The 16,257-nt window shown below is 36.6% G+C and overlaps 4 annotated features.

Annotated features, from left to right (window-relative positions):
• Positions 2,988-3,827: an enhancer, noted in NCBI's record as "OCT4-NANOG hESC enhancer chr7:114465341-114466180 (GRCh37/hg19 assembly coordinates)". NCBI's record gives its function as "activates a minimal SCP1, AML or CMV promoter by ChIP-STARR-seq in primed H9 embryonic stem cells {active_cell/tissue: H9 hESC(primed)}" and the evidence as "EXISTENCE:reporter gene assay evidence [ECO:0000049][PMID:30033119]".
• Positions 4,706-5,371: an enhancer, noted in NCBI's record as "VISTA enhancer hs1192". NCBI's record gives its function as "enhancer in: hindbrain (rhombencephalon)[5/5] | midbrain (mesencephalon)[3/5]" and the evidence as "EXISTENCE:transgenic organism evidence [ECO:0001131][PMID:17130149]".
• Positions 4,706-5,855: a biological region, named in NCBI's record as "VISTA enhancer hs1192".
• Positions 5,323-5,855: an enhancer, noted in NCBI's record as "NANOG hESC enhancer chr7:114463313-114463845 (GRCh37/hg19 assembly coordinates)". NCBI's record gives its function as "activates a minimal SCP1, AML or CMV promoter by ChIP-STARR-seq in primed H9 embryonic stem cells {active_cell/tissue: H9 hESC(primed)}" and the evidence as "EXISTENCE:reporter gene assay evidence [ECO:0000049][PMID:30033119]".

Genomic DNA, 16,257 nt, shown 5'->3' with positions numbered 1-16,257 from the left:
GTACAGATTTAGAAGAAATGTATCACATTCAGGCAGATATCTATAAAATTTAAACAAAAATGTTTAAGTACTAAAACATGCTTAACTCTGAATTTTCCTAAAACTTCTTAATGTTCTTCAGAATTTCAGTCCTCTTCCTGAACATAACAAGAAATTTAGCTTGCATTAACAGTGCAATAAACACTTTCTGTTTGTTTTTGCAGTGTACATTTGTATTTATTTTTATCATTTTTAATGCAAAAATTGGTGATTATTTTAATAGCCACAAGTTAATTAAATTTTGTTACCTATTTTTGCAATGTTTATACTTTTGTAATAGACTTTATTTTTTAGAGCAATTTTATGTGCATAGTAAAGTTGAGCAGAAAGTATAGAGTTCATGTGTACGTTCTGCCCCCACACATGCAGCCTCCCCCATTATCAACTTTCCACAGCAAAATGGTATATTTGTTACAATCTATGAACCTAAATTGACACATCATTATCACCCAAAATTCACAGTTTACATTAGGATTTACCCTTGGTGTTATACATGCTATAGTTTTGACAAATGTATGACATTATCGTATCATACAGAACAGTTTCACTGCTCCAAAAATTCTCAGTGCTCTATTTATCCTTTCCTTCCTCTAAACCCTGAAAACAACTAATCCTTTTTAGTGCCTCCATAGTTTTGCCTTTAGTGGAATGTCATATAACTGGAACTATACTGTATGTAACTGTTCCGATTGGCTTCAATCCCTTCGTAATATGCATTGAAGTTTCCTTCTTTTTTTTTCCATGGTTTGGTAACTCTTTTCTTTTTAGTGCTGAATAATACCCTATTTTCTGGATGTAACACTTTATTTATTCATTCACCTTTGGGAGGACATCTTGATTGCTTGTGAGTTTTGGCAATTATGATAAGGCTTCTTGAAACATCTGTGTCCAAGTTCCCATACAGACATAAGTTTTCAATTTATTTGGGTAAATTCCAAAGAAGTATGATTGCTGGATCCTAGGGTAAGAGTATGTTTAGTTTCATAACAAACTATCAAAATGTACTACAAATTGGCTGTACCATTTTGCATTCCCACCAGCAATGAAGGGGAGCTCCTGTTGCTCCATATTCTAGCATGAGTGTTCACAGCATTTCGGATTTTGGCCATTCTAATATGTGTGCTTAATTTGCATTTCCCTAGTGACATATGACATGGAGCATCTTTTCATATACTTATTTGTCATCTATATTTCTGTTTGGTGAGGTTTCTTTTCAGACCTTTTGCTCATCTTTTATTGGTTTGTTCATTTTCTTAATGTTGAACTTTAAGAATTCTTTTCACATTTTGCATAACAGTCCTTTATTAGATATGTCTTTTACTAAGATTTTCTCTTAGTTTGTGGCTTGCCTTCTCATTCCCTTGACAGAGTCTTTTTCCAAGGAGAAGTTTCTCATTGTAATGATGTCCAACTTGTCAATTATTTCTTTTATGGACCATGCCTTTAGTGTTGTATCTAGAAAGTTATCACAAAGCTCAAGGTCACCTGGATTTTCTCCTGTGTTATTTCTAGGACTGTTACAGTTTTGCATTTTACGTCAGATCTACGATCCACTTCATTGTTGTTTTTTGTATGTAATGTTTTTCCTATGAGTATATTTTTAGCAGCTGATTTGGAGAATGTGTGTGGACGTAAAGTATTTACAGACACAAAATAATTTTATTTATCCCTCAGTTTTAAATAATAGTTGAGTTGGGTATAAAATTCTAATTAACAACTATCTTGAAAATACTATTTTGCTATTTCTGGTCCTATTTTTGCCATTGTTGCTGTCAGTTTAACTGTTATATTTTGTAAATCATCTGTTTTTTTTTATCATCTTAAAGTTTTTCTCTTTATTTTTGGCATTATGTTGTTTAACCACAACATATCTAGGTATAGATGTGTTTTGTTTTTTCCTGTTTCTTCTTCTGATTAACATGTGAAGTGAAATTTTGATCTCAGGTTTCAGTTTTTTTCATATCTGAAATTTTTTTATCTATTTAGCTTCAAATATGATGTAACTGTTGGTCTTTTCATTCTTTTCCTCTGAATTGCCTATCAAACCTTTTTTTTCTATTCTCCATGGCTCTGAAGTGAGATTTCATGTTATTTTTCTCTCTGTCTTGTTTGGTCATGAATTTATTATTAATGCATTTCAATTTATCAATTCCCCCTTGATTGTATCCAGCCTACAGTTTACCTTATTCATTTACTTTTTATTTCAATAGTTGTATTTTTTATTTCCAAGATTTATTTTTCTCATAAGTATCTGTTTCTGTTTCATTTCTATTTGTTTCCCTTTCTTAACTTCTACTACTGTTTATATAGTATTAAACCTTCTTTTGTTTCTTTGGCCACTGCCTATATAATCAACTTAAAAAGACTTTGAGATTTTTCATTATATTCTCTTTATATGAAGTGAATTTGTGCTTCAATTTTTTTTTTTTTTTTTTTTTTTGATGGAGTTTCACTCTTGTTGCCCAGGCTGGAGTGCAATGACACGATCTCGGCTCACTGCAACCTCCACCTCCCAGGTTCAAGCAATTCTCCTGTTTCAGTCTCCCCAGTAGCTGGGATTACAGGCGCCTGCCACCACCCCCAGCTAGTTTTTTGTATTTTTAGTAGAGATAGGGTTTCACCATGTTGGCCAGGCTGGTCTTGAACTCCTGACCTCAGGTGATCCGCCCACCTCGGCCTCCCAAAGTGCTGGGATTACAGGTGTGAACCACTACACCCAGCTGTGTTTGTTTTATTCTTTTTTAGTGTAGCTTTCTTTGTCTGTTTTGTAATTTTATTTTGGTTGATTTGAATGGAAAAAAATTGGTTGGATTTAGTTTGATTTTCTCTCTCTCTCTCTCTCTCTTTCTCCTTCTCTTTCTCTTTCTCTCTCCATCTTTCTTCACCCTATCCAGAGTAGGAATTTTGTAATTTCTCCTAGTCTTTCTTCACCTCATCCTCAGTTCACAATTGGGTTTACAGTGGAAATTTGTGACTATTTCCTTGTTAAGAAGCAGTAACTATAACAGATCCAGCCACCAAGCTATGAAACAACTGAGTTCATTTTCTAGACATGAGCATATAGGAATGTTTCACCCCATGGCCCCTCCTCTTTCAACCCTGTATGTGTGACATTCCGTAAGGTGAAGCCCCAGGAAGATAATGGCAACAGTTTTCTTGAGCTCCTTTCAAATGCAGAAGAGCCTCACCTCAGCCAACAGAAAGCCTGGCTTAAGACCTCATCTCATATGGACTGCCAATCCATGTACTTCCAGGCTGCCACTGCCCACTTCTAACTCAGCAGGCCTGTGGTGTCAGCTTTATTCACTGCTTGTGCTTCTAATCTCTTTCCAAACCTTGAAGAACTTTATTTCATTTTTAGTCTAGTTATATATGTTAGGCTTTTGATGTGGTTTGGCTCTGTGTCTCCACCCAAATCTCATCTTGAATTGTAATCCCCACATGTCAAGGGAAGGACGTGGTGGGAGGTGATTGGATCATGGGGGTGGTTTTCACCATGCTGTTCTTGTGATAGTGAGGGAGTTCTCACGAGATCTGATGGTTTAAAAGTGACAGTTTCCCCTGCGCTCTCTCTCTCCTGCCACCTAGTGAAGGAGGTGCTTGCTTCTCCTTTGCCTTTCACCATGATTGTAAGTTTCCTGACACCTCCCTAGTCATGCGTAACAGTGAGTCGATTAAACCTCTTTCCTTTATAAATTACCCAGTCTCAGGTAGTATTTTTATAGCAGTGTGAGAATGGACTGATATAGCTTTATTATTATTTTTTATTTATTTGTGTTACAAGTAGAGCCAATGCTTCAGAATACTACAACAAAAACTAGTGGGACAAGCATTAGAACTGCAAAATCCAAGGTGCTCCAGAGCTCACAGGGTCAGAACAACCTGTTTAGATACAAGTTCATCCCTTCATGTTCATTTTCTCTGCCTACTCTGTAAACTGATCCCAGACTTCCTCAAGGTAGACCAAATGAAGATACGTATTCCTCCAGGTCTGCTTACTATTTATTTAATTTACCTGTGACTTTTTCATTTTCATTGCATAAGTAATCAACTCATTTAACCATGGGAAGAATTAAACCAACAAGGCTCAATTATGTTTTCTGCTCCATGTTGTCAAACTTTAATAGTATTTCAGTTTACCTTGCTCTTCTGATGAGGAAAATAATGTGATCATCTCCCTTAACTTCCCTATTTCATCACAATGACTTGGTAACTTGTACATGTTGCTGTGAAATCACTGGCTTAATGCTATCTAATTCTACTAACTAACCTTGATACATTTATTTCCCTTCTCTAATGTGGTACTTTCCTCTTTTGATCAATATAATCCTATAATCTATGCAAATTCTTGTAGGAATAAAACTTGCAATAATGTATTTTATTATTTTTGTAAGCACGCCTTCCTTGGAAAAATGTGTTAATCCTTTCATACAAGCAGTTTTTGAAAAACTGATATAAAGTATAAATGGGAACAAACATGACAGTTATAACAAATATACTATTGGATATATTTCATTTTTGTTCCACACAAGATATTAATACATTAACTTTATATCCTATTAGCTCTTTCAATAAGGTCAATAATTAATCATTTAATCTTTTTTTAAAAAAAGAGGTTTTGTTTCCTACTAAAATTAATAAATATTCTTTCATCTTACTGATTTTTTCTGAACAGGTCACTGTCATCATATACCTACTAACTTACTGCATATCAGAGTCTTCCTCATAAAATGGATAGGAATATCAGGAACATCACTGTGTGACTAAAGAAACCACATTATTTTTACAGTGTAGAAGAATTGCTAAGCTTTTGCCTCTTTTTTTGATTAATTTCATGCCTGACTCAGTCAGAGATTAGGCCTTGACACAGGTTATAATTAAATATTGAAATCATGAAGTGCAAGAATGTTTAATTTTTAAAATATGAGTTTTAATTTACCTCATACGGAGAATAGCTCTGGTCACCTGCAGAGATGCATTACACACTACATTGCCTAATGTAGGATGCCTGAATAAGGCTGAGCATACAGTTAAAGTAAACTAATGCAATTTACTGAACAGCAGTCAAATATTTATCCAGTTGATGAAGCAGACTTTATGTGAAACTCAGACAATAATTAAAGAGAAGCCTTGCTTAAAACATGCTTACTTCAGTTTTCACAAATACGTTATATCCTTTCTGCATCTTCCATTTTCCTAAATATCTCTGTATACCTGAAACACACCATAGTGAGTATTCTATTTTCACAAATATGTTACATCCTTTCTGCTTCTTTAATTTTCCTAAATATCCCTGTATTCCTGGAACGCTCCATACTGAGCATTCGGTAAAATTATATTGAACATATTTCCTGCTATTTCACAGTATTTTAAGTTAGAAGGGTTGATTGATTGCCAGAGCAGCCCAATTCTTCCTGTAGCTATACCTCTTGCAATGTGACTTTGCAGTGCCTCCCATCAAAGGTGGAGTCTTGTTTCCCCACCTTTTAAATTTGGCTTGTGACTTGTTTTGGCCAACGGAATGTGGCAGCCATATTGTTATGCCTGTTCTGCTTTCAGAGACTGCATGCTTCTACTTGTTCTCTTGGAACCCTACCATGAGCATGAGAAAAGCCCAGGCTATGCAGGATGGGAGACCACATGGAGCCTATCCAAGACTGGTCAGCTTCCAGCCACCCTGCTATCTTATTACAGTTAGTCCTGCTGACATTGCCCAAGCCTAACCCAAGGTGCAGAACCATCCACATTACTTGTAGAAGTAATAAATTGAGAAATAATAAATTATTACTGCTTTAAGCCATTATGTTTATAATTGTTTGTTATACTATAACAGCTAATTGAAGCAGGATTTGGAGATCTAATCCAACCTGTTCATTTTATAACTGAGACAACAGAGGCCCAGAGCAGCTAAGTACCTTGTTCACATTTACACACTGTCAACGGCAGAACCGGGTTTGGAGTTTATATTATCCATCTCTTTAGCTAAAACTTTATATTGTGCAATACAACTTGCCTTTGTCTTCCTTTTGGTAACAGAGATAAAAGGAAGTTTGCCAAGAAAATTGGAGTTTCAGCATAATAAAATGACATGTGTCAATAATGATTGTAAGGGCTTTGTATATATTTATTTTAGTCAGAATATAAATATTATCTGATAGTATTTCTCAGATACTTTTCTCTAAGTTATGTGAAGAGAATTGTGAATGACAGAATGAAGACTATTTTCAAGTGTTAAATAATCCCGTAATTTTCAATCATTGTGATATTACTACTAATCTTCACTTTTGGAATATTTCTCAAATGCTAAAGTTAACAGGGATCTTCTTAGAGCTTTACGGGCAGAACTAAATTTTTCTCTGGATTTCATTGCATCCAAAATTATCATCTGGAAGATTACTAATATATGGCATATCAGAGTCATCTCTATATTAAATATTTCAGATGACGAGCATTAAGAAATCTGTAACTACTTAGATTATGTTGAATGCATAAACAAAGGCTAAGTCCATTATGTTATAGGATGGCATGTTATAAAATTGTGTTCTAACAGATTTGAAGAATAAAAAAATTAAGATTTTTGGGCTTCTTTTTAGAGTAGCAAATATTTCTACTTTGGGTCCATTGTACCTGCAACTCTTACACTCTATAGCATTGGTGTTCAAAGTTTAGCTCATCCAAGTCACCCGGATAGCTTGTTAAACCACAAATTGCTGGGCACCACTCTCAGAGATTCTGATTAGGTAAACCTGTGATGGGGACTGAGAATTTGCATTGCTAACAAGTTCCCAGGTGAGGCTGCAGCTGCTAGCTGAGAATCTACACTTTCAGAACCTCTGCTTTATAGTTTTCAAAAATTGTTAAAATAATGTGTGGATAGTCCATGTTAAAATATATCTTACTACAATATTTTAGTGGGAGCTAAAGGAAGCATATATGAACTATATTCACAATTTACATTACTAAGTAAATTATGCAGTACAAAATCCTGTCAATCAAAATCAATGAGACAGTCACTACATTCAGAATTTGAACAGCCTTGACTTTTTATTGAGACATGCCCAGAATCTGCCCACAGACCAAGGGAGAAACTTGTTAAAAAAAAAAAAAAATGTGTACTGTCACAAGGCCCATAATATTTGGAATGCAGGCAAATTAGCTCAAATGATCATCCTCCAAAGGGAAATAATTTGCTAGAGTTTTTAAAAGGTAAAGAAATGACTACTTCCAGCCCAGAGCCAACTTTTTTTTTAATTTAATGAGAATATTCACATAACACTTTCCATGACAGCTTCTGCTTTCCATCACTCAACTCTTTGTGAAAATAGTCCATTTTTGGCTTACTGACTGTATGTTTGGGCTTAATCCAAGAATGAACTTCTTGAAAGGTTTTAAAAAATGGTTTCAGTTGTTTTTAATTCCTGACTGCTTCAAATAAAGAAAACAAACTATAAAAAGGGTAGTAGGACTTTAATTGCATTTTTTTGCATTTAAATATCAGATAACTTCCTAATGGACCTTTACATATCTATGTCCTCTACAGAAATCCCATACCTTCCTCAATTTGAAAAGACAAGTGAGATTAGAAAAAGATTGGCGGCTGAAAGTGTCCTGTGAGAAAACACACACAAAAGCATATGTGTGTCCCGAACTCTTGAGTATGCACATTTAAGAGGCGCCAGCCAACTCGATCTTTCTTCTTCTGGTAAACATGCCTCACTGGGTATTCAAAGAGCCCATTCCGTAAGAGACCATGCAGTATTGTTTATAATTTTTATCGGTGTGGTTTTTCTCACCACCTACTTAAAAGTTCATTTTTTCTCCTTTTCTCTACTTCTTTGCTTCTCCTTTCCTTATAAGAAAAAAAGGCAAACTCAGCAAACCTAAGGCATTAGACAGAGAAGACATTCTTATGAAGACTATTTTTAACATTCTCTTAGTTTACATCTTCCTCATCTTTGAAGCTGACAGTATGTATAGGGTAAAAGTTCCTGAGTACAGAACAACACACAGAGTGTATCCTGAAGTGGCAGTTTCTAGCCAAGGAAAGGCTTCTGAGACAAAGGTAGTCCAGTTCTAAACAAACATAACTTTCCTCTTCCCAAATAAAAGGGTTCTTCAATAGCTGATGATATTCATTTTTTTAATGTTTAGTGACATCTTAATACCCTTATAAACACAGTCTCTATATTTGTGTCATTATTAGATATGTTTAGTGTCTTTTAATACTGGTGGGGTTATTCTATCCTATGTAGACCTAGAATTTCTAGCTGCAAATAATTTCAAATTTTTCATGACTACTTCCCAATTAACTCCAACTCACAGTGATCCTTTCAACTCATGTGGCATCTATTTTTGCCACCACTTTTTTTTTTTTTTTTTTTTTTGAGACGGAGTCGCACTGTTGCCCAGGCATGAGCGGAGTGGCACAATCTTCTCGGCTTTTTGCAACCTCCACCTCCTGAGTTTAAGTGATTCTCCTCCCTCGGCCCCCGCAGTAGCTGGGATTACAGGCGCCCACCACCATGCCTGGCTAATTTTTGTTTAGTAGAGACAGGGTTTCACCACGTTGGCCAGGCTGGTCTCGAACTCCTGACCTCTAGTGATCCACCCGCCTCGGCCTCCCAAAGTGCTGGGATTACAGGAGTGAGCCACCGCGGCCAGCCGCCACCACTCTTTTCATATTTATTTGAAATGATCTTGTGGTGTTGCTAGCTAACTTTTTGTGAACATGTGTGCTATCTACCTAATTAAATTGTAAGTGCCCTGAGGACAGAGAGCTGAGGGAATTTGAGGTGTCACCATAACTTACACATGAAGAACACTCCGTGAGAGTGTGCTGACATATAGGTGGGGATGGCTGAGTCAGCCCTCTAACCTGGGAGTGGGGATGGCTGGAGTGAATGAAAAGGATATCAAAACATGCAGAGAATGATTCCCTATCCTATTTAGGGTTTCCTTGGCTAAAAGCAAACCCAGGACAGGAGGCTGGAAGAGGAGGGAAGAGCAACTATGTAATGATCTACAGGAATTACTCCCGGCTGAAGAAATGGCATATGGAAAGAATGGCAGTTAAGAGGTACAAAGGGAGAAATATCTACTGTGTAACAGGTATAGTTGCAGCCAACCAACTGTTTTGGTGCCTTTTAGTGAGCTATATTAGTCTGTAAGGTAGGAAAAGGGCGGTACCCTAGAAGGAAAGGCTGACTTTAACACCAGGAATGCACAAACACATGCTGAGGTTGTGCAAGGAAAAAGCTGGAAATAGGCCAAGGAACTTCATTTATGCCAAGTCATTAGAAGACTCATCCTCTCAAGACACCCTTTATACTATATGCCAGGAATAGTATCTGTCCTTGCCTGGCCAGATGTCCAACTGGCTCCTTTAGCTTTTCTATTTCTGTTAGCTATATAGTGAAAGAGTTTTCCCTTTTAAAATCAGACTGTTGTGATTATAGACAGAGGCCGTGGGCAGATTTGCTAGTCGTTTGTCTACCAAAGGGTCTAGCCCTTCTATGCTGAAACGTTCTTCAAAGAATAAGTGAATGCATTACTGTTAGGGGAAAATATGCATTCACAGTTATAATTAAGATAATCTTTTAAATCATTTTCTGATGTGCAAGCTTGTTCTTTCCCACCTTCTCACACACACATCTATTTATATATGGCTTAGTGCTTATGCCATCATATATGTGTGCTGAAGGGTGATGCAGGTATTATATCTTGGAATTGAATAGTTCAGGTCCAAGCCTCAGTTTTATCATTTAGTATTCAGAAATAAATATATGCACATATGTGAGCATACATATGTTTACTTAGTATTTTGTAACTGTCCCCTAGTTATTAATTTGCTTTTCTACATGTAGAGTACTTTTAGAAAATATGAACTCGTGCATTTCCTACAACAGTTGAGTATATTATTATATACTGTTATATATAATATTTATATTGGTTGAGTATATAATAATGTATAAACATTATTATGGACTCAACTGTTGTAGTTTCCTACAAGAGTTGTAGCAAATAAGAGTTCATATTTTCAAAACTGTCTACATGCTAAAATAGAAATCTACACTGAAGCATGCCAACTGTTTAACTATGCAAATAAATGTCATAAAATAATTTAGAAGCCTAAATTAAGAATGTTGTATCTAAGTGAAACAACTGCGGGAACAGAGATCAACAGAAATTAATTACACCCAGGAAATTTGGACAGGACATCAACAAGAGCATGGACCATGAAATCTTCAGTGACCCAAACAGTTAAGAAATTGCAACCAAGAGCTATAACTTTCATCCAGAGAGACAGATGCTTTCACCAAGTGTGATAATTTTTTAATCCTCATATTCTGTCATGACTCAACCCATGTGGCTAGGGTGAGCAATGCTTACTGACTCACATACTAGTGTGATGGGGGTAGTTGTGGAGTAGTTACTATTCTTTCTGTGTGGATGGGTATTTCGAGATTTATGCAGCAGGTATGTAGAAAAAAAAGATAAACATGGGTATTGGTCAAGGCCATCATGCTACACAACTACGGGAAACACCATTTCTACTATCGTGTGTGTGTGTGTGTGTGTGTGTGTGTATATCTCCTTCTTCCTTAAATTTGGCCATGAAGAGCAACAAGGCTATATAAGGAGGCCTGACTTGGATTCTGGTTCTACCACTGCCACTTACCAGTTATATGAACTTGAACAAATCATCTCACCTTCCTGAACTCTAAGAACTCTAAGGTTTCTTGGTTTATTCTGTGTGCTGTGGAGTCGTTTGCCAATCTGGTGAAAGTTATAGATGCTTCCTCAGAATAAGGTTTTTAATGGCATAAAATAATACAGAATGTTGAAGAATCCAATTATTATTTTTTCTAATGTAGTAATAAATGTGTTTATTATTATATTAAATATCATTATCAAGATATGGGTCCCATAAATACCATAATTTTGAACTATAATGAAGGTAAACAATATTTTGAGATATCTGCAACTGTAATGTGATATAAAAATATATCTGTTGACAAAATTATAGATACCTATACTATTATTGCTATTTATTGCTTACGTTCATTAAGTAAGTAAATGCTAAATTTCAGTTGGGGGTTAGCAAAAATGAAGGGTAATTTTTTCCTGATGTAAGTTCAAGGACTACTTTTATTTTATCTATGAACCACAAGTTAAAAACCATTCCTCGGCCAGGTGCGGTGGCTCATTTCTGTAATCCCAGCAATTTGGGAGGCCGAAGCAGGTGGATCCCCTGAGGTCAGAAGTTCGAGACCAGCCTGACAAACATGGAGAAACCCAACCTCTACTAAAAACAAAATAGAAAATTAACCACGTGTGGTGGCACATACCTGTGATCTCAGCTACTCGGGAGGCTGGGGCAGGAGAATCACTTGAACCCGGGAGGCAGAGGTTGCAGGGAGCCGAGATCCCACCATTGCACTACAGTCTGGGCAACAAGAGTGAAACTCAGTCTCAAAAAACAAACAAACAAACAAACAAAAAATTGCTTTTTTATTATACTTTAAGTTCTGGGGTACATGTGCACAATGTGCAGGTTTGTTACATAGGTGTACATGTGCCATGTTGGTTTGCTGCAACCATCAACTCATCATTTACATTAGGTATTTCTCCCAGTGCTATCCCTCCCCGAGCCCCCAACTCCCAACAGGCCCCGGTGTGTGATGTTCCCCCTCCCTGTGCCCATGTGTTCTCATCGTTCAACTCCACTTACGAGTGAGAACATGCGGTGTTTGGTTTTCTCTTCCTGTGTTACTTTGCTGAGAATGATGGTTTCCAGTTTTATCCATGTCCCTGCAAAGGACATGAACTCACCTTTTTTATGGCTGTATAGTACTCCATGGTGCAAATGTGCCACATTTTCTTTATCCAGTCTATCGTTGATGGGCATTTGGGATGGTTCCAAGACTTTGCTATTGTGAACAGTGCCGCAATAAACATACATGTACATGTGTCTTTATAGTAGAATGATTCATAATCCTTTGGGTATATACCCAGTAATAGGATTGCTGGATCAAGTGGTATTTCTAGTTCTAGATCCTTGAGGAATTGGCACACTGTCTTCCACAATGGTTGAACTAATTTACACTCCCACCAACAGTGTAAAAGTGTTTCTATTTCTCCACATCCTCTCCAGCATCTGTTGTTTCCTGACTTTTTAATGATTACCATTCTAAATGGTGTGAGGTGGTATTTCATTGTGGTTTTGATTTGCATTTCTCTAATGACCAGTGATGGTGAGCATTTTTTCAAAAGTGTGTTGGATGCATAAATGTCTTCTTTAGAGAAATGTCTTTTCATATCCTTCGCCCACTTTTTAATGGGGTTGTTTTTTTCTTGTAAATTTCTTTAAGTTCTTTGTAGATTCTGGATATTAGCCCCTTGTCAGATTAGTTTTTACCCATTTATGTAAAAACAGGGAAATGACATCTGCCTTCCAGAACTCACTGAGCTTTGCTAGGATCAAATTAGGTAAAGTTAATTCAACAAATATTTAGTGGATCATTTCTATGTGCCAGGCACTGTTTTAGGGCCTAGGGATACAGCAGTGAACGTAAGAGACACTGTCTAATGGAATAAATGTTTTAGATGTGGATGCCAGACATTAAATGTATATGTTGTGAGAGGGGATGGTACAGTGATAAGAAAAATAAACCAGGAATATGTACAGGAGAGATGGAGGAAAAGTCTCTGTGCTAAGATGCCGCTGGAGCAGAGACCTGAAGGAAGCAAGGGACAAGGAGCCATGGGGATGCCTGGGAGAAGAGTCTGTAAATAACAAGTGTTGTAGCATTACCTTTCATCTAACAACAATCAGTGAGCAGGTGGTAAATTGAAATGTAAGCCAACATTACTAAGTAGGAAAATTAAAATATGTGGACTTTTGGGTAGAATTATGAATTTATTCCATATTAGCATATAAATTATTTTATATCCGTATTTGAAAACTTTGTTTCTAGGCCGGTCATGGTGACTCATGCCTGTAATCCCAACATTTTGAGAGGCTGAGGCAGGAAGATCGCTTGAGCCTAGGAATTCGAGATCAGCCAGGGCAACATGGTGAAATCCCATCTCTAAAAAAATTAAAAATTTTTAGCCTGGCATGGTAGCGTGTGCCTGTATTCCCAGCTACTCAGGAGGCTGAGGTGAGAGAATGGCTTGAGCCCAGGAGGTCAAGGTTTCAGTGAGCCATGATCATACCACTGCACTCCAGCCTGGGTGACAGAGCAAGAGTCTGTGTCAAAAAAGAAAAAAAGAAAACTGTTTCTACTGTTTCATTATGTATGCAGTTTTTTAGTGCAACTTATTTTGTTACAAGCACTATACTTCACCAAATTAACTAATTTAATCCCAATAAGCACCCTACAAGATAGAACCTACCATTATGCTACCTTACAAATAAGAAAATGGAGGCTCAGAGGGAGAAAAGTAATTGCTCAAGTAAATACATACAAGTATCAGAATCAAGATTTAAATGCAGTCAACTTAATAAAATCTGTCTTTTTATCTATCATGTCATACCGTTCCTTGAAAATAGATACTATTCTCTGACAGGAGAACAATCCATCTTAGATATTATATTTTTAAGTTACTGAAGTACTTCAGAATTTTTTGTTAAATGAGAAAATTTTGCACTGTATTCACTGGGGAAAATGTGCAAAGAAAAAAAGCTGAGCCACAAAGGAGTCAGAAAAGAAATTCCTAATTAGGGGAAAGACAGTCATTAGAGAACACCATTAGAAAGATTATAGTCACCCATAATCTTTCTCTTTTAATATCTATTTGCGGTTACCAAAAATAAATAAATAATTAAATTTTACAAAAACCCAAAAGCTAATCAGAGATCCAGAAAAGACAATCTAAGACCTTTTTACAATGCAAGGAACAGTCCTAGGCCCTTAGATATAGGAGAAGTCTTCAGTGTGTTGAACCACAGGTTAAACTGAAAAGGCCCAGAAGTTTCATAAAGTAGGCAAGAGTACATGAATGGAAAGAACAAAGTAAATATTTTAAATCAAAACTTGCCAGTTTTAGAGACAGTGAGATTAACAATAAAAAGTTCAGATTCAACTTATAATTTATATTCTGCTTTAAATTATTTCTCTTCTCAAATTTGTTTTCTTGATTCTAGACTACTCCTCTTTTTCAGGAGTGTATTGCAACAGTTCCAGTGAGAAATAAAAATGGCTGAAGAAAATCAATAACAGTGGAAGCGGCTGGTGAAGAAAAAAAAGAATGCATGTTTAATATTGAGAGGTAGGGGAGGGTGGAGAGTGGGTGGCAAAGGGGAAAGTCCAGGTGGCCTTAGTTTCTGCCATGAGTGATGGGGTAGGTGATGTGTTAGTTACAAGCAAGATAATGAATATGAGAGAAATAGAAGATAGGTAGTGAGTAAAAATGTGGACATCTTGATTTTTAATTATTATTGGGAGATCCAGATGGCAATAACTTACAAGCAATTGAACGCAAGTCAGGAACTCAGGAGAGATATCTGAGCTGGAAATAGAGTTCCAGGAATCATCAGCATGCGGATAAAAACAGACAATTAAATCAAAGATTTAAAGCACACCCAGAGGATGAGATAGGTAAAGGAGACTGCAGTGGAGTAATTAACTACTTGAAGAGCCGGTTCCCAGTATCAAATGCCACAGAGAAGTCAAGTAATACTTCCAAGTGAGGAGTTAGGGGCTGGAGGGGACAGTGCCTTGAAGGCCTTTGACAAAGCAGTTGTGTTGATGTGGTGGCAAAAAGTCTGAAGGGCATACAGTGAGAGGTAAATATGAAGCTACAATTAGAATATAACTCATTCTATTTATGAACTTGATGGTTAAATGATAAGAAAAGGAGAGAGAGATGGTAGCTAGATGCCAAGGCAGAGTCAAAAAATGGACAGGTTGAAATTATCTGGAAAAAAAAAAAAAAGACTGATGGGGTAAGTGCCCCAAAGAAAGAAGAGAGGCGAGGGTTTTGCCTGTCAAAATGATCAGAAGCCCAACTGGAGATGAGTAAGTGGGGCCAAGGAAGCTAAAAACATCGCATTTCATGAGACTTCATGAAGAATTATACCATGTCCTGGGCAGCTATTGAATGTCCTAACGGACACTCCTATAAGTGAATAATCTGTTTTTGATGAAAATCTGTTGTACACATAAGCACAGAGCAGCTCTGTGTGGTTTTAACACACAGAGATTTTCTAGGAATACAAGTACTCTGTAATTCAAAGAAAAATTGATTTAGGTTTGTTCCAATTTTTACCAAGAATTAGTCATAATTTCAGAAATTCAGAACATCAAGAAGAAATATAATTCATGGGTTTTAAGTCACCAATAGCATGCATCTATCATTCTGTGTTCGTAGCTATTCCATTTACACAGATTCTACAAAGGTCAGCAGCCTTTGACTGGTGAGATCATACATGATAATATACATATTGAAATACATGTTTCATTATAGATTATTTCTATTTCTTTTTTCTGTTAGAATTAGGGCATTATTTTGTTTCTATTCTCTGACCCCAATTGTTCTAGTGACAACCACATTGTTGAATAACCTTGCTCCTTTGCCTTCTCTTGGTCAGCTTCAAAATATCCTCTAATAGAAACTGTAGTGTTCATCAGTGATCACCATTTGGTTATAGGTAGGGTGACCATAAAACATATTTTTCAAAGGGGATGCTTCTGAGAATGATAGTGAGTACAATTAATAATTACTTGAGGACAATAAGAATGAACTGAGACTGTCCTGGGCACACCAGAATGTATGTTCACCCTAACTATATACTACAGGTGTGGTGAAGGATTTGTAATTATTTATTCATCATGGAAGAGACCAGACGTTCTTGCTTATACCAAAGGGTGACTAAACACAAATCCTTGTGAGGGAACTACCTTTTGAGAACAGGGGCCATCATATTTTTGCCTCTCCAGCATCTGGCCAAGTGTTCAGTTCACATTTGGAAAACAGGGCTCAAACCTCAGGGTTTGAGATCAGCTTGTGGTTAAACAACCCACTTCATATCAAAGTCATCACTCAGTGATCAGAAAACCTTACATTGCTAATAAGTGGTCACTGCCTCCTGCAGTAGAAGACAACATTTAATAAAGTCACATAGGTAGTCATGTAGGAAATACCAAAGGTACTTTTACAAAAAGCAGAGGCTGTTAAAAAAATAAACATACAAGGATTAGCCTAGGCCTTTTC

The sequence above is a fragment of the Homo sapiens genome, chromosome 7, assembly GCF_000001405.40.
Source record: "Homo sapiens chromosome 7, GRCh38.p14 Primary Assembly".
NCBI lineage: Eukaryota > Metazoa > Chordata > Mammalia > Primates > Hominidae > Homo > Homo sapiens.
The sequence above is the reverse complement of the archived record's forward strand: the minus strand, read 5'-3'. Positions and strand labels throughout refer to the sequence as shown.